Genomic DNA, 26,791 nt, shown 5'->3' with positions numbered 1-26,791 from the left:
TTCTGTCTGATTTTTGTTTTACCATGTGTATTTATTATTTTTACATAAGAAAACATTTATATGAGAAAAAGTATCAGCAGAGCTTACACAGTGATAGGATTATACATCATGATTTCCTCTTTAAACATCTTTATAATTATCAAACATGAGTGATTAAAAAAACTGAAGCTAAAGGTAGCAATATTCTCTATACTGGCAGATTTTTCAGCATTGCATATGAACCCACCTCCGGTAAGTGGGTTATCTTTCTAATTTATGACTTCAGTGAAATCTGTTTCCTGGCAATGGTTGCCAGGGCACGCCTTCTCTCTTGTTCTCCATCATGCTTACTTTTAAGCCTAAGGGCAAGAAAGAAATAGACAGAAAGCAAGAAGTAGCATGAGCATCTTTTTTTTTTTTTTTTTTTTTTTTGGCATGTTGGAAAAAGGAGCTCTAAACACACTCCACTAAGCATAGCACATGCCTTGGATTCAAGCAGTGGACCTCAAAGAGCAGCGTCTCCTTTTAAGCTTTGCAGGGCAAGTTTGGGGCACTGTCAGTGAAAAATTGTCACTGCTTCTTGCCTTGGTGCTTGCCTGAACAACAAGGAGTTCCTCTAACTGCCTTAAAAGGAATCTACTCCTCTCTCCTGCCACAGGTATCACATACTATTCTCAACATATTACCGCAAACTAAAAAAAAGAAACAGGTTGTGAAGTAATGCAGAAAGTTATTTTTAATTAAAATTATCAATGTATCCGTATTAAAAATTTAAATAGAAGATACAAACAATAAAGTGCCGCTGATAGACCCTGAAGGAGGTCTGCCTCTCCCAAAGGCAGACGGCAAACAATATAGGCTACAGACACAAACACTGGGACTTCGTATTAATTGTGCTGCCACACAAAGGGGGTGTGGTTTGGGGTTGAGGGGCTCACTGGCCAGTTTTTCCATGTTTCTCAAATAAAACTCTGGTGTCATCAAGAAACATGGTGGAGGGAGACATGAAGACTTTAGAGACAGGAACCACTGCAGAAATGTAAGGATTAGGAAGTAGAATAATACCCCACCCTGGGGCTGAGACTTCGGGGAGGGGACGGCACATCACTCCTCCTTTTCCTTCCCGTGCCCAGCCATGGCTGCACCTTTCCCAGGCTGGATATGGTGGACATGTGGGAGGTGTGGACAAAGACGGTAGAAGAGAAGGAGAAGAACGTAGAAAACAAAAGGGGATTGAGCTACGCTAACACTGGAGATGCAGGGTGGCTTCAGATCCGCAAGACATGTTTTGAATTTTCTGGGACCGTTATGATCAGAAGGCAGATACTAATGAGAAAATTTTTGAGCCCATGAAGATTTTAAGGTCTAAATTCTCTCCAATTTGGGCTGCTGGTTTCTGTTTTCTGGGCACCTTGATTCTCATACTCTAGAAGTACCCGGGTAGGGGCTTGAAGAGAGAAAGCAAGAAGCTGGCTTCCTAAGTCTGGCCCTTGACTTTAAAGGAATGTGGTTAAATGGAACTTCTTGTTGTCTAGAACATCCCAGGGCCAGGTTTCTTGGTGTGTAGGCTTGGCAGACGTAATGCTGAGAGGATAAGGAATTTCTGGATTGAAACACCAGGACTCCAAAAGGCCCCTTGAAGTTATCTGAGATTCCCTGTTGAATATTATTACTCAGCTTATCACTATTCTAAATGTCAGCCAGAACTTTGTTATAAATCTGCTACCCAACTTATGTTGAAAGCCATCTCTAAAATTTCCTTTACAACTAATCTTAGGTTTATAAAGTTGGCATTTAAACAGACTGGGTGCAGTGGCTCACGCCTGTAATCCCAGCACTTTGGGAGGCTGAGGTGGGTGGATTGCCTGAGCTCAGGAGTTCGAGACCAGCCAGGGCAACATGACCAAAACCCATTTCTACACAAAAATACAAAAATTAGTTGGGTGTGGTGGCACATGCCTGTAGTCCCAGCTACTCAGGAGGCTGGGGCATGAGAGTCGCTTGGGCCAGGGAGGCAGAGGTTGCAGTGAGCTGAGATTGCACCACTGGACTCCAATCTGGGTGACAGAGTGAAACCCCATCTCACACACAAAAAAGGCATTTAATCATGGTTGTGTGACCTTGGCATACATTATATGGCTTCTCTGGGTCCCTATTTCTTCATCTGTGAAAGGAAGACAAATGTGGAAGAGGAATAATTCTTTGTGTCAGTTAGGATGCTTTTGGCAGCAAGGAACAGAAAACCAAACTCTATCTGGCTCAAATAATTAGGACAAGTGTTAGATTACATAAAAGAAAGTCCAGAGGTAAGACAAGCTTCAGAATTGGCTGACCCAGTTGCCCAGTGATTTTATCAATGACCTGGGAACTTCTTCCTCTCTATCCTCCCATCAATACCATCTCAGGCAGGTCCATCAGGATCTAGGATGGCTACCAGGAGGGCTTGAAGTACTAGCATCTTCACTCCCATCAGCTGGAAGAGAGAAACTGTATTTCTGTGTCTTACGTGTGTAAAAGCTTTTCCAGAAACTTCCAGAAAATCGTTTCTTCCATCCTACTGACCAGAATGGGTGACATGGAATTTCTGGCTAATTCTTGGAAAAAAGAGATAATGCTAGGTTTAGACCAATAACATCCACTCCTGGAACTCAGCTTCTCCTGAGGTTCATGGGGTGGAGTAGGTACCTAAATGAATTTGTGATTCTGCTGGGAAGAAACAAAGTGGCAATGGAGGAGGCTGGCTTACCATCACAATACCGATGCACTTTCTTCCAAATCAAATAATCCCATTTGTCTCTCAGTTACTGCATCTGGGTGACATTCCTATGAACTGTGTGTTGAAAATGTTTTTGTGTCTAGATGCATTTAAGGTTTTGTTGTCCTCACAAGAGTAAAAGAGCAGTATTCTTTTTTGTTGATTGTTTTTGTTTTTGTATCCACTATACAGGGCCAAATGCAAATATTATTTGAGGATATCAATCCTTAGAGACTCATTCAAAAGACTTTAAAAAGAAAAAGCCTCTGAATTTATGAAACCAAAGCAGCTATCAGGATGGTGATATTTGGCTTTTGAGACTTTTAAAAACTGTTTGCATGGAGTTGCCAAAAAATACTGATTGAGGGGTGCTGATGATGACATCATTTACACTCCTTCAGGTCTTTATTTCTTTCTCCGTCTACATGTGAGGATAATAATATTTTCCCTACTATGAGATAATGTATGTGAAAGAGTGTTGTAAAGCATACAACAATTAAAGAAGTGTAATTGTCCAAAAGAAGGGTTTATGAGAACAAAGGTGCTCCCTCTAAAGGCTTCACCATCTGTCGAATTAATGAAGAAGGGAGCCTCTGTAAAACAGACGATGTGTGGCTGGGCAGTTTATTAATGTATTAATTTGGGCTTGTTCTCTTTGTATTCCCCTTCCTCAACTTTAAGTAGGCTTTTTGGGTTTCTGTGCCTCAGGTATTTTTGCTGGGAAGAAAGCAGATGCCATCTCAATTTAGTGTTCTTCCTGTTGTTTGTGTAAAAATGAGCCCACTGAAAGACAATGGGAGACGTCTTGGTGAGGGGCTGAGAGAAAGTGCATGTCTTTTGCAGATCAGGAGATGGGGAGGCAGAGGAAAGAAAGGAGAGATCTGTGGATCCCGTGAGCACCCCAAATTGGAACCACTCCTTACCGTGCCTCAAGGAAGCAACAGACCTCCAAACTGCATGGTGTACCTCAAAAGAGCAAGACCCAAGCAAAAAGGTAGAGTCAGCAAAACGCTGGCAGGCTTGGGGAAGGGCTGGAGTGAACAACTGTCCCATGTTATCTGGGGTAATTCATGGAATACAGGACTTTCATTGTTAAAACTAGGAAAGTTCTAGGCAAATCAGGATGATTTTGTTACTGTAGGGAGAACTAAGGGGCAACTATGATGGAGTGGAGATTAGAAGAACTTGTCCTGATCTGTGGGCACCTGGTATGTCTTCTTCAACTGGGGGTTACATAGACGGGACAGAGTGTTCCAGCCATGACTTTGGGGGACTCAGATTCAACTTTAAGTTGTTTGAAAAGAAACATCCAAAGGAATGTTTTTGCATAGCATAGCTTGGGCCCTGAGATTCATGCCTAACACACAGGTTAAAGAAGTCCACAATTCCTCAACAAAACTTTGGGACCAGACACATTTCGGGATTCAGAACTTTTTGGGTTTTAAAGATATAAGAGTAAGTGTTCTTTATATTATTACATGGCAACTCCAATGCAGTACTCTGTAATAAAGCACCCTGATATTTCTACAGAAACATTTATTAAAGTTTACATTGAATAAATTAAAGACTGTAAATATTCTTATGTCAGTAAGGCTAGGTTGTGTTAGGTTGCGCTGCCAGAAACTTAGTTTAAGTTTTGCCACCAAGTCAGTTGTTACAGTTTTCAGAAATTTTGAGACCTTGGAATTGTGGATAATGGATTGTTGCTGTATTTTTAAATATTTATAAGTATTAGGACAACTCCTCAATTTATTATCATACTAGGTCAAGGGTAAAACCTGTTCCATGTTTTCCAATATTGGCTGAAGATTCTAGAGAATCAATGAACATGTAATGCCACTTAACCCACTCATAGAATTTATTAGCCCCTAATATTGGAATCGATAATGCATTTAAATTCCAATATAAGGTGATATATGCAACATTCAAATGTTCTACTTGCACATTATAGATTTTTTCCAGACAACCAAAGTGCAATTATCACAATTTAAAATAGTTTTCTGTAAAGGTCACTTGAAATGCTAAATTTGGTTGACCTGATAATGAAGAGGTAAAATATTTTTTCTTGAGCAATATTGCCAAACTACAGGTTTTTCTCCAGGGTGATAACGAAAGGGCTTTTGACCAGAAAGCTTTAATGTCTATGTGGAAGCAAAGTCAAGGACGCTGGTTTGCAAACTGCCATACAGGGCTCTGAGAGACATGAAAATAATAGTAATTAATATGATGTTGATGATGCTTTTGTTTGTAGGCCTAGAAGGTGTGGTTATTCTAAGCACACTTAATTATGTGCAAGCACAGGCATTCTTTGTCCTGACTCAAAATCATCAACATAACAGGTCTCCAGGGCCTGAAAAGCTATACCCAATGAGTTTACAATTTCTAAAACTTTGGTGGTTTCATTATTATTCTTCCCTAAAGAGATAGCTCAAATCTAACCTATTCAGAACTTTGAAGATAAGATTCGACTTCTTGAATCAAATTCAGTTGTATTTCCATAAAAAGCCAAAGAAGCAAAGACTTCTTTGTCACAATTCTTAGACTTTCCACAGGGAAAGCCATGGGGAGAAGACAAGGTATCTTAGATAGTTTCTCTCTAACGAAACTGTGCATCACCTGGACCTAGATTGGACTCTGTGTCCACATTTGTACCTATGTTATTTTGCTGCATTTATGTCTCTCATCACATGTGGTGGTTTGTAAAATGTGATGCTTTGGATGGGTTTTTTCTTCTTCATTTCATGTGGTTTTCAAAAGGCCTGGAAATCCGTCTTCTTGTCAGAACCACTTATACTGTCTTTTGAGATCTTTTTGGTGTCAGGATTCAGAGCAGCCATTCACTCCCATTCCTTCAGTCTTGATATTCACAACAAACTCATTACATGGCTGAAATCTAAAACATTTATGTATAGAGGACACTATGCCTCTAATTATTGCAAATGAGGCTCCTTATCTATTTCATGATATCTCCTCAGAGAGGAAGTCTGTGAGGAGCTGTGATTTTTTTTTTTTTTTTTGCCAGCTCCTTTAAAACCTTCATGAAAGCTCTCTTCACGCTGCCTACCCAATGGCAAATGCATTTAATGTTCCCTGTTGCCTCTGCCCTGCTGCATTTGCCACATGAAGGCTGCTCAGCCTCGTCTCTTGGATCACAGCATGCTCCTGTGACCTGGGGGCCACGGCTAAGGCTCTAGGCGCCCGCAATTGGAGGCCTGTCAGCCACGAAATGATAAACAGCAAAGGATGCTTTTATTAACACCTCTCCACACTGACCAATGTGGTTTTCTTTCTTGCTCCTAAGCTCAATGGACTAAGACTCAGCGAAGTTTTAATTCAATAGTATTCTCCTTGCCAAATTTCCCTCAGGATTCTAGTTAACACTAACCCTGAACGAGAAACACCGTAAGGGAAGCACATCTCTCATTGTTAGGCTCACCATTAAATGTAATGACTGATTTCTTTAATCCGTGGGTATGTAAGTCTGTGTTTCTTTCATTGTCAATCTATAATTAATCACCTTATATAAAATAAGAAGTGAGAGAGAAATAAAAAGTCATAGAAATGAACTCATAATTAAGAGTACATTATACAGACTTTATTATTTCATGGTATAAGCCCCAAAGCATCCACACTACAGTGAAATTTTTCTGTTTTTAAAAGTCTGCTTGCTGTTCATAAGAATCTTCCTATAAACAAAAGATACTTAGATTTATTTAGGTAGATTTTTGTGCGGGGGGGCAGGGGGTCAAAGAATTACCCTATGTCCTATAAGAGTCCATCCCAAAAGTTCCCTATAAATAATGACTGTTTATTCCTTGAATTTGATCAGTCCACTCAGCATGTAGAATACAGTGAGAAAAAATAGTGTGTATGGACCATAGTAGGCTTGGAGACAGTGAAGACTTAGAATGATGACTGGTAACATCTCTACCATTGTTAGCATCCCGTGCAATTGCTCTCTACCCAATTGATTTCTATGCATGAATCTCAAAAGAAGATGCAGCTCCCTTTATAAGATAGCGTCTAATGTCTTCCTTTCTTTCCCAGTGGGAGCCAACAATTTCCTCTACAACTTTGGAAACAATAAGATTAGGCAGCCTAGAGTCTAAATTAATAGGAAAATAACACTAAAGTCTTTTCAATAGCCACCAAGTTTCAAAGAACAAGAACAAAATTCACCTGTAAAAAATGGCCAGCACCATGGACCACACCTAATATGGAATTATTAGACTTCATTTCAAAAGTCCTCTTTGTATCTCCCACTTGTGATAAATTAACAAATGGTATTGCTTGAATTAGCTATGCTTTGAGTTTTTCCTGCAAGCACAGAACATTTGGTGTTCTTTTTCTTTCTCCCATGTAGAAAATTTGGAAGCCTCCACCTGTTACCTTGAAAATAAAATCGGGTCATCCTTTTTTTTTTTTATAAAAATGTAAAAGGAACCAGGGTTGTTATTTTAAGGCAAAATATTTATGTTGCAATAGTTACATCAATATCAAATATATTTAACATGAAACTCCTAGAGAAATAAAGCACCTGCAAGGAACTCCCCCCAAACATGCTTCAGAAGAGCAATCTTGATTCAGAAAGATAATCTTTAGTAATCATATGAACTGCCACTAAGGGACTCCTCAGGCAGAGCCTTCCCTAATGAGCATAGCCAGGGAGCTCTGAGTGCTGCCGTCTCCTTACCCCCAAGCCACTGGGAAATGCATCAGCCCCTTGCTCCCACTGCATAAAGCAGGAAATAATACATTTCAAGAAGCTACGTCTTCATATTCAGATTCACATTACAGGGAGGTTAAAAGAAGAAACCTTGTTTGTGTTAGTTGCAGATGTATCCCAAGCACCTGAACAATGCCTGCAACATATACGATGTTCAATGAGTGAATGATGGCACAGAGACTAGGTAGGCTGCTGCCTGCCAAATGGAGGACTTTCAGGGTCATAGTAGAGCAGCACAGTCAAGGGGGATTTTCCTGAACCCTGATCTACCATTTCTAACTTCCTGAATTGTTTTTGACCTTTCCTTCTCTCCACTGAAGAAAAAATGTTAATTTTCTTGGGTGTAGGTCTATTGCTTATTCATAGGACATGTGTATAATTACCATACTATACTGTAATTGATTACTTATTTCCTCCAGAGCCAACCCATCCATTAGGCGTAGTAGTAAACACACACACAACACGCACACACACACAACAATCTTGAGGCTGCAGAAAATGTTTTAATATAAAGTATTAAAATAATCAACTTTATACTAACACAGTTGTAAAATAACAGTTTTAATATTTTTTAATGGAGTAAGGGGCCCATGAAGGCAAAAGTGCCTGGGACCCATGAGAATCATACTGCAGACCTGATCTTCATTAGGCAGTGAACAAACAATATTGGAGACGAATCTGGTTTGAATGCAGAAAGAGGAAGCAAAGAGAAAAGAGCTGATAAAAAGAAGTCATTTTTTTAGGTGTGGGCTAGCAGTGGGAGAGAAGAATGCCTTGGAGAAGGCTGGAGAAGTAGGAGGCTGAAACCAGGGAGGTGTGTAGGGGTATCTGGGGAACTTCTGGAAGAGGTGGGGTGTTGAGTCCATATTTGGCAAGGGAAGATGTATTTTCTGGCAGGCTGATGAATAATGGAATTTGAGAGCTAGAAGTGCTCTAAAGAGCTGTTGTATTCCAACTCCTTATTTTATGGGTGAGAAGGCTGAGTCTTATTAAATTATTGGGAAGATAGAATCTGATTCTAATGCCTTTTCCACTGCTCTGCCAACTCTTCCATTTGCCTGAATTGTATTTACAAGATGGGGTGAAACGAACAGCAAACTTCATTCACGTGTTTATTACATGTGTGTAATACACATATGTGTGAGCAATTCCACACATACCATAATGTTAGAGAGTCATTTTCAGGAATCTTAATAGATCTAGTAGATTACTTTCCAGTCACAGAATGGGACATTTTTATTTCTTATCCCTCTCAACTCTACTGCAACTCTGACTTGGAATCATTAGCATGTGCCTGGCCACCTCCCAAGTAAGAAGCCTGGACCTAGTAGCATAACTAAATTGGTCAGATAACTAAAAGGACAGGTAGCCAAGTCTGGCTAAAGTGAAACCAGAACCCACCAGAATTAGTGGGGCTGATTCTACTCTGATTCCAGAAAAGTCCTAGTTCTAGAGGGACTGTATGAGACTTTCTCTCATTCCCAGATGAGAGCCAGCAAACTGCATCTAAACTTCTGACCCATTCTTGAGTCGTTTGTTGAATGACTCAAATCATTCAACAAACATACCAAAGAGCTATCTCCACAAAATGCAGGTAATGATAAGTGGATGCAAGGGTGAATTATGATTGGACCCTGTCCTCAAGGAGTTTATAGTCTAATTGAAGGTCTAATGAAGGGGAGAGTGAAGAGCCCACAGGATGGTGGAAGCCACATAATCAGTGTTCATGATTACATGGCTCCATTCTGCCTCTAGGACATCCTTTTATGAGTAAATGCTTGGGAGGTTGTAGAATGAAATAAATTCTCCACATATGAGCCAGAGCTCAGGAAATTAAAGAGGAATGGAATCAAGGAAGGGAAAGGTCAGGAGGAGTAGTGGGAGAGGATATTGCAATCTGGGTTTTCAAAAGACATTTCAATTCAGATGAACTCATGGAAGGAATTAAATTTTAATCTTTAAAGCTTCATTGTGCAATTTCCTAAATGAAGGAGCAGTCTGATTGGTATATTTAGCATCCTCACAGAATAAACCTGCATGGGGGTTACACAACCTATCATAGGAACGAGGAGCTTCCATTTTCCATGTCTCTATGAGGTAGGGATTTGACCCTTATTGTCTCTAGTTTGAAAATATTAAGTCACTGTTTAATAAACTAGCTCCTACTCCAGATTCTTGAAAGGCAGCCCTGTTTCTGTTAGTTATTAAGGATGCAAAGCTCTACAAATCCTTTCCTCATCAAATTCACTCTTGTAATATAAACAGATTAATTTTCAAAATAATCAATTTCAGTATGTTGTTTCCACAGCTTCATGACCAATAGAAAAAGACTAACCTCTTTCCCTGATATTAGACAGTCAACCCACCCTCACAATCATGTTCCACTGCTCCACACACAGGTATACTATGCAATCTACACAGAACCTCACAGCCTGCCATGCACACACTCATGTCTACACCCGCTCATACTACTCAGGAACACCCACCGTTTCTCTACGCCTACTTATTCATTTATTATTTGGACAAATATTTATGGTGTACCTACTCAGTTTCAAAAACTTTAATAGGTTCTGGGGATTCAAAGGTGAACAAGATAAACATAGTCCCTCCTTCAGGAGCTTTAAGCTCTAGTTTTGATAAGTGCTACACAGAAGTACATTTATGATGACACGTAAAGGTGGCATGTTACCTAATCCAGTGGGTCATGGAAGCCTTCTCTGAGGGAATTACTTTTAATCTGAGATATAAAAAATTAAGAGGATTGATCCAAGCATTAGAGCATTCTATGAAGAAAGAACCACAGGTGTAGAGCCCTAAGGCACGTCCAGATCCTACCCACCCTGCAAGACTCAGCTCAGTTTTCAACTTCTCATCAAGTTTTTCCCAACCTCTGGAGTCTATGTTGAAGAACTGCTTACTCTTCTGAACTCACTGACACTCTGACTCTGTACCATTTTCTTAAGCTCTTAGTCACCATTGTTCTTATCACCATCCCACCTTTTATCTTTATCTTGCCTAGACTGTATCAGGACAGAACCATGCTCTGTGTCTTGCAATCTTCATGAACATCTAACTCCTAGTAAAAGTGTCTTACAATCTTCATGAACATCTAGCTCCTAGTAAAAGCTCAATAAATATAAATTAAATGCATGTATGCATGACTGAATGTATGAATGAATAAATGGTCTTGGTCAATTCAAGTTCCATGCATGGCCATTCAGTAAGTCTCAACAGAGGCATCACAGCAGTACAGAAGATATTGTATTCTTGATATTTTTAAAAGATTATTGGCCGTGCATCTCATTAAATAAACCATAACCCCCAAATCACCCCCCTGCCCCACCCCCCCAAAAAAACATGAGGATGGATGAGTGGTCAGAAAAAGCTGTCTCTATTCATGGTGCTGTGAGAAGATCCTTTTCTACCTAATAGTTGTTAGGTTATATAAATTGGTCTCAAGAAAATCTCTAACTAGAATGTGCTGGATTCTGTTGGATATGATATGTTCTTAGTGAAAGAGAAACCACCTTAACTATCTCCAGGCAGAAGAATCCTTCAATAGAAGCCTGCTGAAGGATGTGTGGATAGGCCTGTGGACTCTCATGATAGCTAACCTCTTCCACCAACCAAAATAGAGAATTGACACCACCCGCCAGTTTGCAGTAAATTCTCATCCTGCTCCTGGGCCTGCAAACATTTTCACTGCTATGGCTTCCTACCTCCTCCACCTTTGTTCCTCAACCTCCTTGGAACCAACCTGCCAACTTCAGGCCAGGTGGTATCATCTTTCCCTCAAGAAAATTTTAAAATGGAACACACTCAATTTCTGTTTCCTACATCAAAAACCACCTCAATGAGTTTTTAGTTGATACTTATATTTGAAAGCTGGATGTGGTTGGGAGAAAATGTAAACCACAGAGAGGCAGCTGACTCAGAGAGGGCACAGGAGAAACTAAATTATTAACACCTTAGTTCCTGTTCTCTGAATTTTCCCATCCTCTGGATTTTAGATGAAGTGCCAGAATGGGAAGCATTTTAGTGATAGGTTCTTTGCTGTGAGTGCCAAACCAGAAGATATCCAAGCAGGCCTGGAATGAAGAGAGGCCCAAGGATAAACAGGAGCTCAGTTCAGTTCAATGTGTATTTATGAGCTCCTGCTAAGTTGCATACTCTGCACTGGGCACTAGAAATACAAAAATAAATAAAATATTGTCCCTGATTTAAAGGAGCTTGTGATCCAGTAGGGGATTCAGACGTGTCAACATGTGATTATTGTGCAATGTGGTAAGTGCAGTGAGAAACAGGAAATATGAAAGAGGAAAACATCACCCATCTCAGGAAGGATAGAAAAGTAGGTTGGTCTAGAGGGTTGAAAATGATTCTGAAATGATCGTACTAACATCATAACGATAGGTCACACTGCCACATAGCAACATAAAAAGTCTACATAAAAAGAGATCATGTGTTTTGGGGAAATAATTACTTAATTTCTCACCCAGTGGATCAAATGAGGAATTCCATGGCCCAAATGAAGCCAGAGTAATATGAAATGTAATTATTTTAATCGCTCAAAATTGGCAATGCACACAGCTCTCTGCTTAGACCCTGAAATTTGACTAAAGCCTTTATGAATTGCTTATGGAAAGGTTTACCAACCTCAGCACTAATGACATTTTTGGACTAGATAAGTTTTGTTGTGTGAATGTCCTGTGTATTGTAGGATGTTTAGTCTTTACCCATTAATGCCAGTGGCATCCACCATCTCCCAATTGGGACCAACTAAAATGTCTCAAATTGCTAAATGTCTCTTGGGGGGTGAAATCAATGCTAGTTGAGAACCACAAGTGAGGAAGTTTGTAGAAATGAACCCAATCATGTCTATTTAGTTCAAGATAATCAGTTCCTATCTAAGGCTGTGTTTAATAACCCAAACCCAGGAACTTGCCATCATCATTGTAGTTAAGCCTTTTCTTAGACAATTTCTACTTGAGACAGTGATAGCTGTGGCAGAAATTTCTAATTTCCTCCATTATACATTCTACTTCTCTCAGTCAACCTGGAAAAAGAACTCTCGATTTTTAGCTGGCCATCCGGAATAGACATTTCCTGGTCTTGCTGATGAGCTATAAGCAGAATTGGTGTGCACAGTTTCTAGGAATTTCCTTAAAGGGAAGGAATGTGTTCTTCTTCTTCAATTTCTTCCTTTTTCCACTTGATGTAGATGTAATTGCTGGAGCTCCAGCAGCCATACTTGATTATGAGGTGACATTGGGAACTGAAGCCACGAATTTCAGTTCAACAGATAGAAAAGGCTGACACTGGGCAGGGCCTTACCAACCCTGAAATCCTGAATTGCTACCTCCAGACTATCACGTAAGATATTATTTTTTGTACTGTTATTGTCTCTGTTACTTTTAGCTGCACCCTGCACCTGACATTAATCAATACAATTGCCTAAAGTGGACATTTATTATATTTCCAAAAGTCTCTGGACCACAATCTTCAACACATTAGGAAGCTTGGTCAGCTGTTCTACTAGAACCTTTACAGAAAACCCCATCCTCTTCTCTTCTCTTTTCTTCTCTTACAGTACACAGCACAGGATATTGGTTATTTCAACAATAACCCTCCTACCACCTCTCACTCTGCTACTCTGGCCAGTCAGTTACACTAGATAGACTGTTACCACCGCTTACTAAAAGTTGACATCTCCTTGAACCCATCAGACACAAAAATGAAATGAGAATACCTATTACTTGCAGAGTTGCAAGAAAAAGTATACTCTCCACTATTTCTGGTAGAAATGTGACATGTTGCTGTCTTTTTAAGAGCAATTTAATAATAGCAACAGAATTGAAAAATATACCATTCCTCCCAACTATCAACTTCCAAGAAGTAAAATCAATACTAATGAAAGATATATGTGTAGGGTTATTTATTGCATTTTTCCACAGACAGGGAATAATATTTCTTATAAGACAAATAGAGAAGTATATTTGAGATCTATCAACATATAGTTGGTATTTAAAACTATGGGGTTGGATGAAATCATCTAGGAAATGAGTTGTGAAAGAAGAGAGAAGAGATTTGAGGACTGAGCCTGGAGTATTCCAACATTTAAGAGTTAGGAAGATAAAAAAGATTCAGCCCAAGAAAATGAGAAGTAGTAACCAGTGAGATAGGTGGAAAACAAGGAGGGAGGTTTCCTTGCAGCCAAAAGAAGAGAGAGTTTCAAGAAGGATAAAGTGATCAACTATGCCAACTGCTACCAAGAGGTTGAGTAAGATGACGATGAAGAAGGAATCATTTGACATGGCAACATGGAAATCGATGAAGACACTGGCAAAAGCAGTATCAGTGGATTGGTGGGGACAACAGCTCAACAGGAGTGGGTTCAAGAAAGAATGGAAAGTGAGGAAGTGAAGAAGGTGGGTATAGATAACTCTGCATTTTTGCTAAAAGGGAAAGGATCAGTGGGTTACCAGGAAGTATTTTGTTTAGATGCAAAGCAATGTAGCATGTTTTTAGAGCAATGATATAGCAGAAGGGTAAATAGGTGATTCAAGAGAAGCAATAATTGCAGAGTCAAGTCAATAAGTAGATAACCTCATAAAGGGGTGAGCCTCAGACCGGAGCCAGGACAGCACACCTGCTATGACACAAGGGAAGGCACAATATATGGGCACCAATGGAGTTATGATGGCACATTTGATGGTGGAGGGGGAAAAGATTCCTCTGATCACTTTGGCCAATATCCGGCTGATCCACAGATATGCAAGCAAGCCCAGCTGAAACCAGAAGAACTGCATAGCCTAAATCATCAACCTACAGATGATTAAGCTAAATACATGTTTATGGTGTTAAGCCACTAAATTTTTGATGATGTGTTACATGCCATCATGATAGAAATAGATAACTGAGGCAAGGAATGTTCCATGTCTATGGGTACATATGGAGCTGCCTCATTTTTTAATAAATGACTACATATAGCATCGAGCTGTATGTGCCATATTTTATTTATTTTACCATTTCCTTATTACTGTTTATTTTAGTTGCTACTATAAACAATGCTGCAAGAAATATCTTCCTACATATGTCTTTGCACGTGTACATGGAACTGAACAATGAATTCCTAGAAGTGAAATGTTGGGGTCAAAATTTATATGCAATGGTAATTCTAATAGATATTGGCAAATGGACATCTACAAAGAATGTAAAAATGTATGTTTGCCAATAATTTATGAATGCATTTCCACACATCTTCATGTTATCAATTTTTTTGCCAATATGGTAGGTGTAAAAAATGTAATTACTATAGATAGCACTTTCATTCCTCTTATTATGTGGTCCTAGAATAAACCCCACCATCCCTACTGTTTCCGTTGACTCTGAAGAGCACCTATTTCACTCTTATCAGCCCTGTTCAAGAGGCTTAGGGACCTCCTCCTTGCTTCACACCATTTCCCCAGTGGTTTTATATTGTCAATATTCTTCTTTTGTCAGTAGGTTTTCCACTAAGTTTCAGTAAGTTATGACTCATTTAATGTAAGGAAAATAGGAAAAACATTCCACGTCTTTGCAGAGGAATGAGTTGTGTTTAAGATTGTTTATTATAAATGGAAATGTTGAAGGAAGGTTGGAAGAAGCTAAAAAGGAAGAAGAAATTAAAAAGAGAGAGAGATAAAGATGGGACTAATAGAGTTTTCTGAAGTCCCTTTGTATTAGTCAGGGTTCTCTAGAGGGACAGAACTAATGGAATATATATATACATATATGGGTTTATTATGGGTATATATGACTTGACTCTGCAATTATTCCTTCTCTTGAATCACCTATTTACCCTTCTGCTATATCATTGCTTTGACATGCTCCATTGCTTTGCAACTAAACAAAATACTTTCTGGTAACCCACTGATCCATTTCCCCTTTAGCAAAAATGCAGAGTTATCTATACCCACCTTCTTCATAAACCCATATATATATATATATATATATATATATATATATATATATATATATATATAAGAATTAACTCACATACTCACAAGGTCCCACAATAGGCCATCTGCAGGCTGAGGAGCAAGGAGGGCCAGTCCTAGTCCCCAAACTGAACTTGGAGTCCGATGTTCAAGGGTAGGAAGCATCCAGGACAGGAGAAAGATGTAGGCTGGGAGGCTAGGCCAGTCTCTGTTTTCATATTTTTCTGCCTGCTTATATTCTAGCCATGCTGCAGCTAATTAGATTGTGCCCACCCAGATTAAGGGTGGGTCTGCCTTTCCCAGCGCACTGACTCAAATGTTAATCTCCTTTGGCAGCACCCTCACAGACACACCCAGGATCAATATTTTGTATCCTTCAATCAAGTTGACACTCAGTATTAACCATTACACCCTTTGACTTCAACCATATTTCCTAACTTTGATCTCACGAGAGATTTGTATGTTAACTAGAATCTACTTTAAAATACTTCAGCATGGACAGTGTGATAAACTTGTGAACACTAGTTTTCACTTTAAGGCTGGTCAGCTGCCCCCAGGGGGTCTGCATTCTCAACAGGTGTAAAGAGCAGTCATCCAAATGGAAAGTCATAACAGTAAAATAAACAGGTAAATAAATAAAATAGAACTTTAAGATAATGAGGGAAGTACTAAACAAATATAAAAGGAGCTGTGGGTATGCACATGATAAAAGGATACAATTTTTAGAGGTAGAGTTTGGGGCCTTGCATAGCTTCCCTATCCCCATAACACTATTAATGTATCCAACATATACTAAGGATATTTATGTAATTACTCAATGTGCTATACACTTCTTAATCATAAAACAAGGTCAGGAAACTTCATTTATGAATAAGTATAAGTAATTTGACCTTAACACAAGGTGAAAATTGTCAGGTTGGACACATTTTTAATTTTGCCATGGATTCTCAGCTTTATTACTTTGCACTCAAAGGGCAATTAGCTTAGATAGTGGTTTCTGATAGTCAAGCATTTTTCTTTTGAGCATCTAACCAAATTGCATTTGCAATAATAACCCTCCCTAAAGTCAATAGGTCTTTGGAAAAAAAAGAGTGTGGATGACTGCAGAGAATTGAGATGGAGTCCCATGAAGGACAAAGTAGAGAGCCTAATGCAGCCTTTTATCTTCTCCATTAAATGGGCAGGCAAATCAGAGGCTCAAGTGAGCCAACCTTCTTGTAACTGATATGATTTCCTGGATGGCTCAAGAAAACGTAATGTCTCTATGCTGAGTTGAAACCCTTAAATAAAGCACTAAATTGAAAAGATATATTTCAATGCAGCTGTTCATTGTCTTTTCAATTCTATCACTTTCCCACTTAATGTATTTATTTCTTTCACACATAATAAGCCTTAGTATGAGGAAAGGAGACTGGCAGGAGAGACAACTGAGCCATTCAGGGTTTCTAGTGGTCTCATCAGATAATCACAGAACGTCGGTGCCATTGAGGGAACAGTCTATTGGGGAAACAGCAATAATGACATGGCCGCAGGCTCAGTGGCTGGGCCTGTGTTGAGAGTCTGCTGAGATCTTTGTGACCAATTCTCTCAAACAATTGTTTTCTTCTTCCCCAGATCAACCAATTACTTGGTTGAATCAAGAAACAAGTGGTTGTTTTGACTTTACTCTCTCTCCCAATGCTAAATTGAAGTTTGCATTTTACCATAGCTGCGACTAATTCACGATTAAATTGAGACTTAGTTTGAGATACAAAGCAGCTGCAAATTATGTTCAAAAGTCAGTAAATCATTGTCAACTCATTTTGTGGCCTTGGAAATACACCCGAGATGTGTAAAAATAGCACCAGCTACATACTTTTCTTTGAAAAATCCAAGCAGCCAGTGATCTGTGGATTTTTTTCCTTTTCTTATTTATTGTCTTTTACCATATTTTTATTGTGATGATATTTTATCCTAAAAGTAGTTGGTTCTGATCCATTTGTTTTCATTCACAGTGGCCAGATATGTTTCCAAGAGTGCTTACATCCCCATAGCATTTGGAGGGCTCCATAACTGGGTGGCTCATCACCTTACCTTTTCTATTCTTGCCGCTACATCTTTCAAAGGACTAAAGCATTTAATGACTCTGGCCCATGGTAAAATAGGGCCAAATATTCACCTGGGGAACCTAAGCTTGTCTCACCTTCTCATAATGTTTCATGTCCCCCCCAAACTGTTCATTGCCTATCACAAAAGTGTAACAAGTGTGTAACGTTACCCGAATATCTAGGAGAAAGTTGGCAAAGAGATGTTATTTATTATGCCAATTCAGACTGGTTATTGATGACAGTGGCTTGGCTAGCTATGTCCAGGCTTAGTGGAAAGAGACAGTGGTTAACAACCAATGTCTGACAGGTGCACTCCTCAGGCACTTGCCCTCCCTCCCAGTTCCAAAGTATACTCAGGCTCTGTGCACTGATTGAACAAGTGCTCCAGGAGGTGCCCTAAACAGAACATCTTTTTAACAGGTTCATTGGCACTCAGTACTCACACAAGCCTTTTCTTTTCTGTACCCTCAGGGGTCAGAGAAAACTTTCTTCACATGATAACTATACTCTTTGCATGGGCAGGCCTATAAAAGAGCTCCTGACCAAAGCCCTGCAACAAGAGGCCTCTAAATGGAGTGGCCAAGTCAGAGTGGCAGAGATCCAGTACAGATTTTGAGTCCAGCATCTACCTTCTGTTCCCATTAATGGTTCTTGTGCTGCCCTGAATGCTGGGAAACCATGGGGCTAGGGAGTTTCCCTTACAAAGAAAAGCTGAAACATGACCCTAGCCTCTTAGAGGTGGCCATCCACTGGCTCTGTTGCTGGTACTTGCCTCAAGCAATCTATTGATCCTGGAAAATCCAACTACCTACCACCTTGAGCCTGTCTCCAGTGAGCTTTACAGATATCATTCATCCTTTTAGATGATATGCTCCTTCCAAATAAGGAGCTCTGTGAGTTTAGACTGTATGTTTATTCAGGCATTTCTTTATAATGGTAGTGTTTTGCTTATGCTAGATAGGGCTTGAGACTTGAGTGGTCTCATTTCTGTGAGTTCTCTCTCTTTTATTTTGTTCCCTTAGAAAATGTTTACTCCAGGTGCAGTGACTTGCACCTGTAAACCCAGCAACTCTGGAGGCTGAGGTGGGAGGAACACTTGAGGCCGGGAGTTTGAGACAAGTCCGGGCAACATAGCGAGAACTCATCTTTAAAACAATTTTTTTAAAATTAATAAATTTTAAAGAACTTAGCCAGGCATGGTTGTGTGTGTTTGTAGTCCTAGCAACTTGGGAGACTGAGGTGGGGCGGGGATCACTTGAGCCCAGGAGCTGGAAGTTGCAGTGAGCTATGATCACTCCACTGTACTTCAGCCTGGGCAACACAGCAAGACCCCGTCTTGAAAAACAAAAACAAAAAAAGTTTTGACATTTTGGTTTTTAGTTTTAGTGTACGGTTTTCAGATTCCATCACCCTCTTTCTTTCCTCAAGATCCACCCTCTTATTCTCACTTTTACTCTCATTCTCTCTCCCTCTCCTTCTTTCTCTTTCTCCCTGTGCCACCTCTGTTATATAAAATAGTGTCTTTTACTGTGATGCTCCCTGTTTGTAGCATTACCGCAAACTTCCACATATCCATGCACACACACTCTCGCAGCAGGCTGCACATTCTCTTTTGCTGTGGGTCTGAAGAGTTGGGTGGCTTTTCCTACTCACCAGTGGAGCAAGGTGTGGTGGCAAGAGTGCACCCAGGAAACCAGGTTTCTCCCACATAGTAGTTGTATGATTAGGGGCAGGTCAACCTCTCTCTGTTTCTTCTTCTTTTAGAAAAAGGGTAGCTCTCCCTGCCCTATCTCCTTTGCAGAGTATTTACAGGGATAAAATAAAGAAATGATCATGAAATCTCTTTGTAAAGTATAAATTGCTATGTAAATGTTATTTTATTATTGCTGTATTTTTGCAAATCAGGTCACTCCACTGTAAGGTGGTGATTATACTGCAGGAGGATCCGATTGTCCCCTGCAGGCACTCAACTGAAGAATGACAGCTTTTAGGCAATGCCTATCCCATGTAATTAATTCTCACTTATCTGAGATCCTCTTCATCATTCCATAGAATGCTGCCTGATTTCCTGACATTAACAATGAACACAGCCAGACTCAAGAGGAGGAAGCTACTGGGACCACGGCAGTCAAGGAAACACCATCAACACCCAGTCTTCCTCCCACATTACTCAGAGACTTTTATCTTTGCCATCCTTAAACACATTCCTGCAGGTCTCCAGATCCCTTCCAGCCCATCTTAGATAAAACTGTGCAGGAAAAATGTGCTTCTAATATAGAGGTTTCCATCTGGACACCTTGTATTTGAATCACAACTCAAACTTTTTTAATGCCACCCTCTGTTTCCCTACTGGATCTTAAAGACAATTGGCACTGAAGCATAATAAAATAATCAATTATGTCTCATCTATGCTATGCTATTTGAGAGCATTTCCCTCAAAATCTCTTCTATACTTTGATTTAAAAGTAAGATTTATACCAAAAAGCCAATGAATGAATATTAATGTGATATTTTAGATGATATCTAATGAAAAATCTCAAATATCATACAATGTAATTAATTTATATTCTTAATATACCAGTTTCTCACCAACTATGAGAATTTGATTCCTAAAAATCCCCTTGGTAGAAGAATTCAGATTCGTGAAATAAAAGATCTTACAGAAAAAGAATATTAGTAGTTAATGTTCATGGTAAACCTTAAAAGGTCCTTAAAAATATGTTTCTATTATATGATCCAGCAACCTCACTTCTGAGTATGTATCCAAAAGAATTGAAATCAGGATCTTGAAGGGATATTGGCACTACTGTGTTCACTGCAACACTACTCACAATTGCTAAGATGTGAAAACAAATGTCCATCAACAGATAAATGGATAAAGAAAATGTGGTATATACATACAGTGGAAAACTGCTGGGCCTTAAAAAAGAAGGAAATTCTGTAATAGGCAACACCATGGATTGACCTTGAGGACATTATGTTAGGTGAAATAAAACCAAACACAGAAAGGCAAGTACTGCATGATCCCACTTAGATGATGTATCTAAAATAGTCAAACTTAGAAAACAAAGACTGGAATGGTGGTTACCAGGAGCTGGAAGTAGGAGGAGGTGGGAGTTATTAATCAACAGGTGTAGAGTTTCAGTTAAGTAAGTTAAATAAGCTTCTGAGGTTTGTTGTACATTGTATGTATAGTCAAAAATAATGCACTGTACACTTAAAATTTGTTAAGAGGATAGATCTCATATTAAGTGTTATGCAATTAAATAATAATTTAAAAATATACATTGCTATCAATTTGAAGAAAACAATAAAGGCAGCATATTCCTTAAAGACAGAATCAATGAGATTAAGTTTTCGCCATTTGAAAGTCATCTTCTGGTTGTCTTTTACCTCGAATCAAGCTTCATGAGACAAAAAAGGCTGTGATGAACTGAATTGTCCCCAACCTCCCATTCATGTGTTGAAGACCTAACCCCCAATGAGATGGTATTTGAAGATGTGGCCTTTTGCAGAAAATTTGGTTTAGATGAAGTCATGAAGATGAGGTCCTCCTGGTGGGATTGGTGCCTTTATAAGAAGATACACCAGAGAGCTTGTTTGTTTGCTCTCTCTTTCTATGCATGCTCATGCAAAGAAGAAATCATGTGAGCACACAGGGAGATGGCGGCCATCTGTAAGCCAGGAAGAGAACCCTTACCAGAACTATACCTAGTTGGCACCCTGATCATGGACTTCTAGCTTCCAGAAGTGTGAGAAAATAAATCTGTTTTTTAAACCACCAAGTCTATGGTATTTTGTTACGGCAGCTCAAGCAGACTAAGATAAAGGCAAATACAAAAATGGGGTCCTAAAGTCCCAAGGGAAAACAGGAAAGTGTGTCCCAAATAGACTAGTCAATGGCATGGGGAACAAAGGTGTGGGGAACATGGGCAAATTATCAAAGCTGAGTCTGAGAGCCTATGAAGGAACTGAGGAAATAAAGAAGTAACAGCAACAGGTCAGATCAGAATAGTCAGAGATAAGACATTAACTCCTGCAGCAGATTTTGCACATTCCAGGTACACCAGTGTGTGGACAGCCAGGTCCATCTAAAGACACCAGACAGAGTGAGGAGCAATGCATTATTATTATCTTAATTATTTCTAATAAGCAGGACTCACAATTTGGGTACATGGGAAATACTATTGTTACAGTTGCCAAAAAAAAAAAACCTATATTGGACTTTTGCATATGGACTTGAGACTGGGAATAATTACCATGACATTTTGCAAAGATCTATTTTCATGGATGGAATTTTCATCATGCTTCATTTTAGATGTCCTCCAATCTGATAAACAACAAAAGGGTTCCAAGGATCCATTTATTCAGAAGAAACTGAAATTTAAAATTAATTTTAAACCTTCCATAAAGCTGTTCTACATTTGAAGAAAAAGGTATTTTCTTCACTAGACTTTGTGGTTTTCATTTCAATCATTATATGAATAACCAAAATCTCTTCTGATGCAAATATCAGTATTTGGAGAGATCCACCTTTTTATATTGTATTCCTGAATGTCTTTAACCAGAATTCTAGAAGGTAGATTGCCATGTTCTTGAATTGCCTGACCTCTCTAAACAAATACCTACTTTAACTTTGAGGTATAAGACAAAATACGCACAATAGCTCTCTGTATCAGCGGGTTCTGCGCTCGTTTATTCAACCAAGGATCAAAAATATTTGAAAAATAAAAATTAACAATACAGCAATAAAAAACAATACAAATTTTAAAAATACAGTATAGCAAGTATTTACATAACATTTACATTGTATTATAGGTATTATAAGTAATCTAGAGGTGATTTAAAATATACAAGAGGATGTGCATAGGTTATGTGCAAATACTACACCATTTTATATAAGAAACTTGAGCATCCGCAGATTTTGGTATCCATGGGAAGGGGGGTTGTCCTGGAACCAATTCCCCATGGATACCAAGGGATTACTGTATAGCAAGTATATGTTTCCTATGGCTGCTGTCACAAATTACCACAAATGTAGTGGCTTAAAACAATCAACCTTTACTATCTTATAGCCCTAGGGATCAGAAGTCCAACATGGGTGTCACTGAGCTGATTTCAAAGTGTTAGCAGGGGTGTGTTCCTTTCTGGAGGTCTAGGTGTAAATCTGTTTCCTCGACTTTTCAAGCATCTAGAGGCTGCCTGCCTTCCTTGGCTCATGGCTCCCTTCATCTTCAAAGCCAGCCATGACAGATCACATCCTTCTCACACATTTTGACACAAATTCATTTGCCTCCATCTTTCACATGCAAGGAAACTTGTGAGTACACTGGACTCATCCAGATAATCCAGGATGATCTCCCTATTTTAACAACAGCTGATTAACAACCTTAACTTTATCTACAATCTTAATTCCCCTTTGTCATGAAACATAAAATATTTCCAGATTCCAGAGATTAGGATGTGAGCATCTTTGTGTGTGTGTATGTGTGTGGCAGGGTGCATTATCCTGCTCATTACAGCAAATGTGTTAGAGGTTAGAGAGAGGAGGTTGTCATTAAGATCTGGTTCCACATGCATAATTCAATAAAGTTGCTTATAGAAATTATGTATCGAAGTACCTCCAATAAATATACTAATAGAGGAACTATAAGTTTTTTTTATATTATCAAAATTACATCGAGTATGAAATAGGAAAAGAGACTAGTATTGATTAAAATGAGCAAAGTGGAGTCAGTACTTCCCCCATCCAAATGTAATAGTGATATGTATGTTGCCCTTGGATGTTCTGCAAAGGTATGAAACCAACTGAAAAGAGGTACAACTTAAGCTGTTCCTGTGCGTTGAGCCAAAGAAATTTTAAGTCCACAAGGGCATGCCTCTTAAGGAGGGAGGGATAGGCTATAAGGCAGTGAGTTTCTGACGATGAACCAAACTATCCTTCCAACAATCTATTCCTCTTGCTATATTCTTTAATAAACTACTGCTTTATAGGTAAAATCAAGTCTTTTATGTATTCTGCACTCCCGACTACCCTATAACAAAACTAACACTTCCCTACAGTCACTTATAATTCTTTTTCAGAAATCTCTTTCCATTCTCATTTCTTCTGCTGTTATTTTATACAGCATTTCTTTAATAAATGGCCTCAATACTTCCAATGCTTTAGCAAGTTTTTTTGTCATTGTTGTTTTGTTTTTTGTTCATGTGTGTTTTTTTTTGTTTTGTTTTGTTTTGAGACAGAGTTTTGCTCGTGTTGCCCAGGCTGGAGTGCAATGGTGCGATCCCGGCTCACTGCAACCTCTGCCTCCCAGGTTCAAGCGATTCTCCTGCCTCAGCCTCCTAAGTAGCTGGGATTACAGTCGTGTGCCACCATGTCTGGCTAATTTTTGTATTATCAGTAGAGACAGGGTTTCACCCTGTTGGCCAGGCTAATCTCAAACTCCTGACCTCAGGTGATCCACCTGTCTCGGCTTCCCAAAGTGCTGGGATTACAGGCATGAGCCACTGCACCTGGCCACTTTAGCAAGTTTTGATGCAACTATGTTTATATATGCCACTTTACAACCAAGATTCCTGGTACCCCTAATCTCTTCTAGTCTTAATTTACTACTGAAGTTCATTACATCATGTTAATTATTAACATATTTATTTTGTTTTTCAACATATCTGAAGTTGGAGAAATTGTTGTCAAAAGAATCTTCTCAGATCTATCAGAACTGCCTGCCTGCCAATTCAGAATAAAGGTAGTCACTGAATGGATTCTGTCTAAGATTTTCACGACCAAAGTCTTAATTATTTCAGATCAAGCTTCAATGAGCAAAATGTTTAGTTTTAGAGATGTACCTTCTTCACGCAAAGCACTGGACTCCAACCATATTAGTCAGCTTGGGCTTCTAGAACAAAATTCCGTAGACTGGGTGGCTTAAACAACAGAAGTTTATGTTTTCATGGTTCTGGAGACCGGAAGTCCAATTCTGGCAAGGGTTCTCTCTTAGGCTTGCAATAAGCTGCCTTCATACTGTGTCTTCACATGGCAGAGAGAGAGAGCAAGCAGGCACTCTGGTGTGTTTTCTTATAAGGGCACTAATCCCATCATAAGGGCCTCATCCTCATGACCTCATCTAACCTTAATTAATTCCCAAAGATCCCATCTCCAAATATCATCACATTGGAGCTTAGAGCTTCAACAGATAAATTTTGGGAGCACACAAGTCAGTTCATAGCACCACCTAAAGAGCAGGTTGGGCAAATTCCCAAAATTACAACAGAGATTCCTACAGGCTTTCCATACCAAACCAAAAACAGTATATGGCACATAGTAGTTGTTCAATAAATACTTGTTGAATAAGTTGAAAAAAATGAACAAATGTCCGTAACTCAAGAAAAGACTAAGGGAAAAGGAAATTTGAATGAGGCAGGGATCTAATCCCAAAGTGGACATCTCATATTTGGGTGAAACAGCAAATCTCCTTGACAATATTAATGTCCCTGGCAATTCAAATATCTTCAAAGGAAAATGATGTGGAATAAAATTAAATGATTTTAAACAAAATTATATTTCACCAGCTTATAGTTGCATCTCAGTAAATGCCCATTCTTTTCCAAGAGCGGGCTATTTCCATTTTCTAGAAATCCTGTCTCTTCTGTGGGAATTATCTCTAAAATTGTGTTCAGTTTGGATGTCATGGTTAGTCCAGGTCCTCTGCCTTCTTGATGAGGTCCCTGAGGTTTGTTTTGCCAGATCCTTCTTCTCATAGCCTCAGTACATCCAGTGAGCAGGCACGTGTCCCAGGATCAGCCAATCAGGCATCCACTTAGGACTCTGTCTGCTGAAAACAGTGCTGTGAAGATAGAAGAAACTGCTGAAGTTCATTTTTTCCAGCAGTAATACCTTAACAAACAGGTAATTTTTGTCCTGGTTTCTGTCTTATTTCCCAGTCTGATTCTCTGGTTTTTCATTCAACTATGTGAAATCCACAATACCCTTCTGATACATTCCCTTTCTGATTCAATTAGCCAGAGTTAGATTCTCAGGCATACAACCGCGAAACACTAATGAAACATGTTCTTCATCCTGTTTCTTCAGGCGACACCACCTACAATCAGAGAGTCCTATCCTCCTTGCTACTGACTACTAATATGCGTGGTTCAACACCAGGAGACTCATTTGCCTCTTCCAGCCATCTGGATTGGTGTATTCCATTATGGTCACAACATCTTAAAATATATTTACCAATTATCTAGATATTTAGATGTTTACCAATATCTAATATCTGGATATTTACCAATAGGTCTAGGAGAGCAATGAGCAATTGTGAAATCATATCACATGAGGGGGATTGAAGGAGGTAGGAACCACTGGCCCACAGGAGAGAAAACTGAAAATATAGATGTGTAAACTCTTTAATTATTCAATTGACTTTGTATAATTCCACGTGACAGACTCAGGTGCAATACATAGAAGATAAAATAAGGCAGTATTCAGGTCAAATTTTAGAGAAACAAAATATTACTAATTAGAATTACTTCCCCTTCCCCAGTAAGATGGCCTGACTGTAACTGAAATTATAAATGATCATCATAGAGAATATCCAAGCAGAAATTTGATGTCTACCTTACAGATATATGAAGTGGAAAATTGGGCACCATGGTTATTTAAAACTTACATTCTCAAGATAGCTTCTATCATTACTCTTTGCCTCTCTCAAATAAGACAAAAAGCATGGCATTTAGCAAAAACAAACAAACAAACAAACAAAAACCACCACCAGAAATAAAGAAAGAAGGGAAGCAATATTTTAGGAAACAGCAAAGGTCCTAAACTTCCCTTCCTACCCCTGCCACTAATTTGAAGAAAACTAAACAGAGGGCCTAGTATAATTATCCTGAAGGAAACCACGTGGAAATAGTAGCACACCTCTGTGCCCCACCATGTACACACAACACCTCCTTGGAGCAGGAAAACCTCCTGGAGCTTAACACTATATATACATATTTTTTTTTGGCAAGAAAGAAACTCAAAAGCAAAGTAGGAACATGATAAGTACATGTAGCTATAAACAGAATAGAAGAATAGAATAGAAGCAGAATAGAAAACCGCAGGTAAGTAAGGAGAAAACTTCCAAGGAATAAGAGACCCAGGAGAAAGAGTTTCACTTACCAAATGACAGTCATCCTGTCTGAAGCCACTTGACTTGAAAATATGTGTGTTTGCCAACTCGTGGTTCCGCATTTCTTTTTTTTCTCTACTAGCTAAGTATGG

At 39.1% G+C, this 26,791-nt stretch overlaps 2 long non-coding RNA genes across 2 annotated transcripts in view, besides 1 other annotated feature; one reads left to right on the top strand and one right to left on the bottom strand.

The window, feature by feature from the left end:
- Positions 1-893: 893 nt before the first annotated feature.
- On the top strand, positions 894-20,194 carry LINC02442 (long intergenic non-protein coding RNA 2442). Its single transcript, NR_183543.1, has 3 exons — positions 894-1,018; positions 3,578-3,728; positions 19,579-20,194. It is a non-coding gene; the product is annotated as a long intergenic non-protein coding RNA 2442 (long non-coding RNA).
- Positions 1,058-1,277: a silencer, noted in NCBI's record as "fragment chr12:67983387-67983606 (GRCh37/hg19 assembly coordinates)". NCBI's record gives its function as "represses an EF-1alpha promoter that drives an FKBP-Casp9 reporter gene in an ReSE screen in HepG2 liver carcinoma cells {active_cell/tissue: HepG2}" and the evidence as "EXISTENCE:reporter gene assay evidence [ECO:0000049][PMID:32094911]".
- A 3,558-nt stretch (positions 20,195-23,752) lies between the features above and the next one.
- Positions 23,753-26,791, bottom strand: part of LINC02408 (long intergenic non-protein coding RNA 2408) — a 47,050-nt gene continuing 44,011 nt past the window's right edge. Inside the window, exon 3 of the long non-coding RNA NR_103861.1 lies at positions 23,753-25,370. This is a non-coding gene — a long non-coding RNA (long intergenic non-protein coding RNA 2408). The remainder of the gene's footprint in view (positions 25,371-26,791) is intronic.

The sequence above is a fragment of the Homo sapiens genome, chromosome 12, assembly GCF_000001405.40.
Source record: "Homo sapiens chromosome 12, GRCh38.p14 Primary Assembly".
In the NCBI taxonomy this organism is placed as follows: domain Eukaryota; kingdom Metazoa; phylum Chordata; class Mammalia; order Primates; family Hominidae; genus Homo; species Homo sapiens.
Note: the sequence above shows the minus strand (reverse complement) of the source record. Positions and strands in the feature narration are given on the sequence as shown.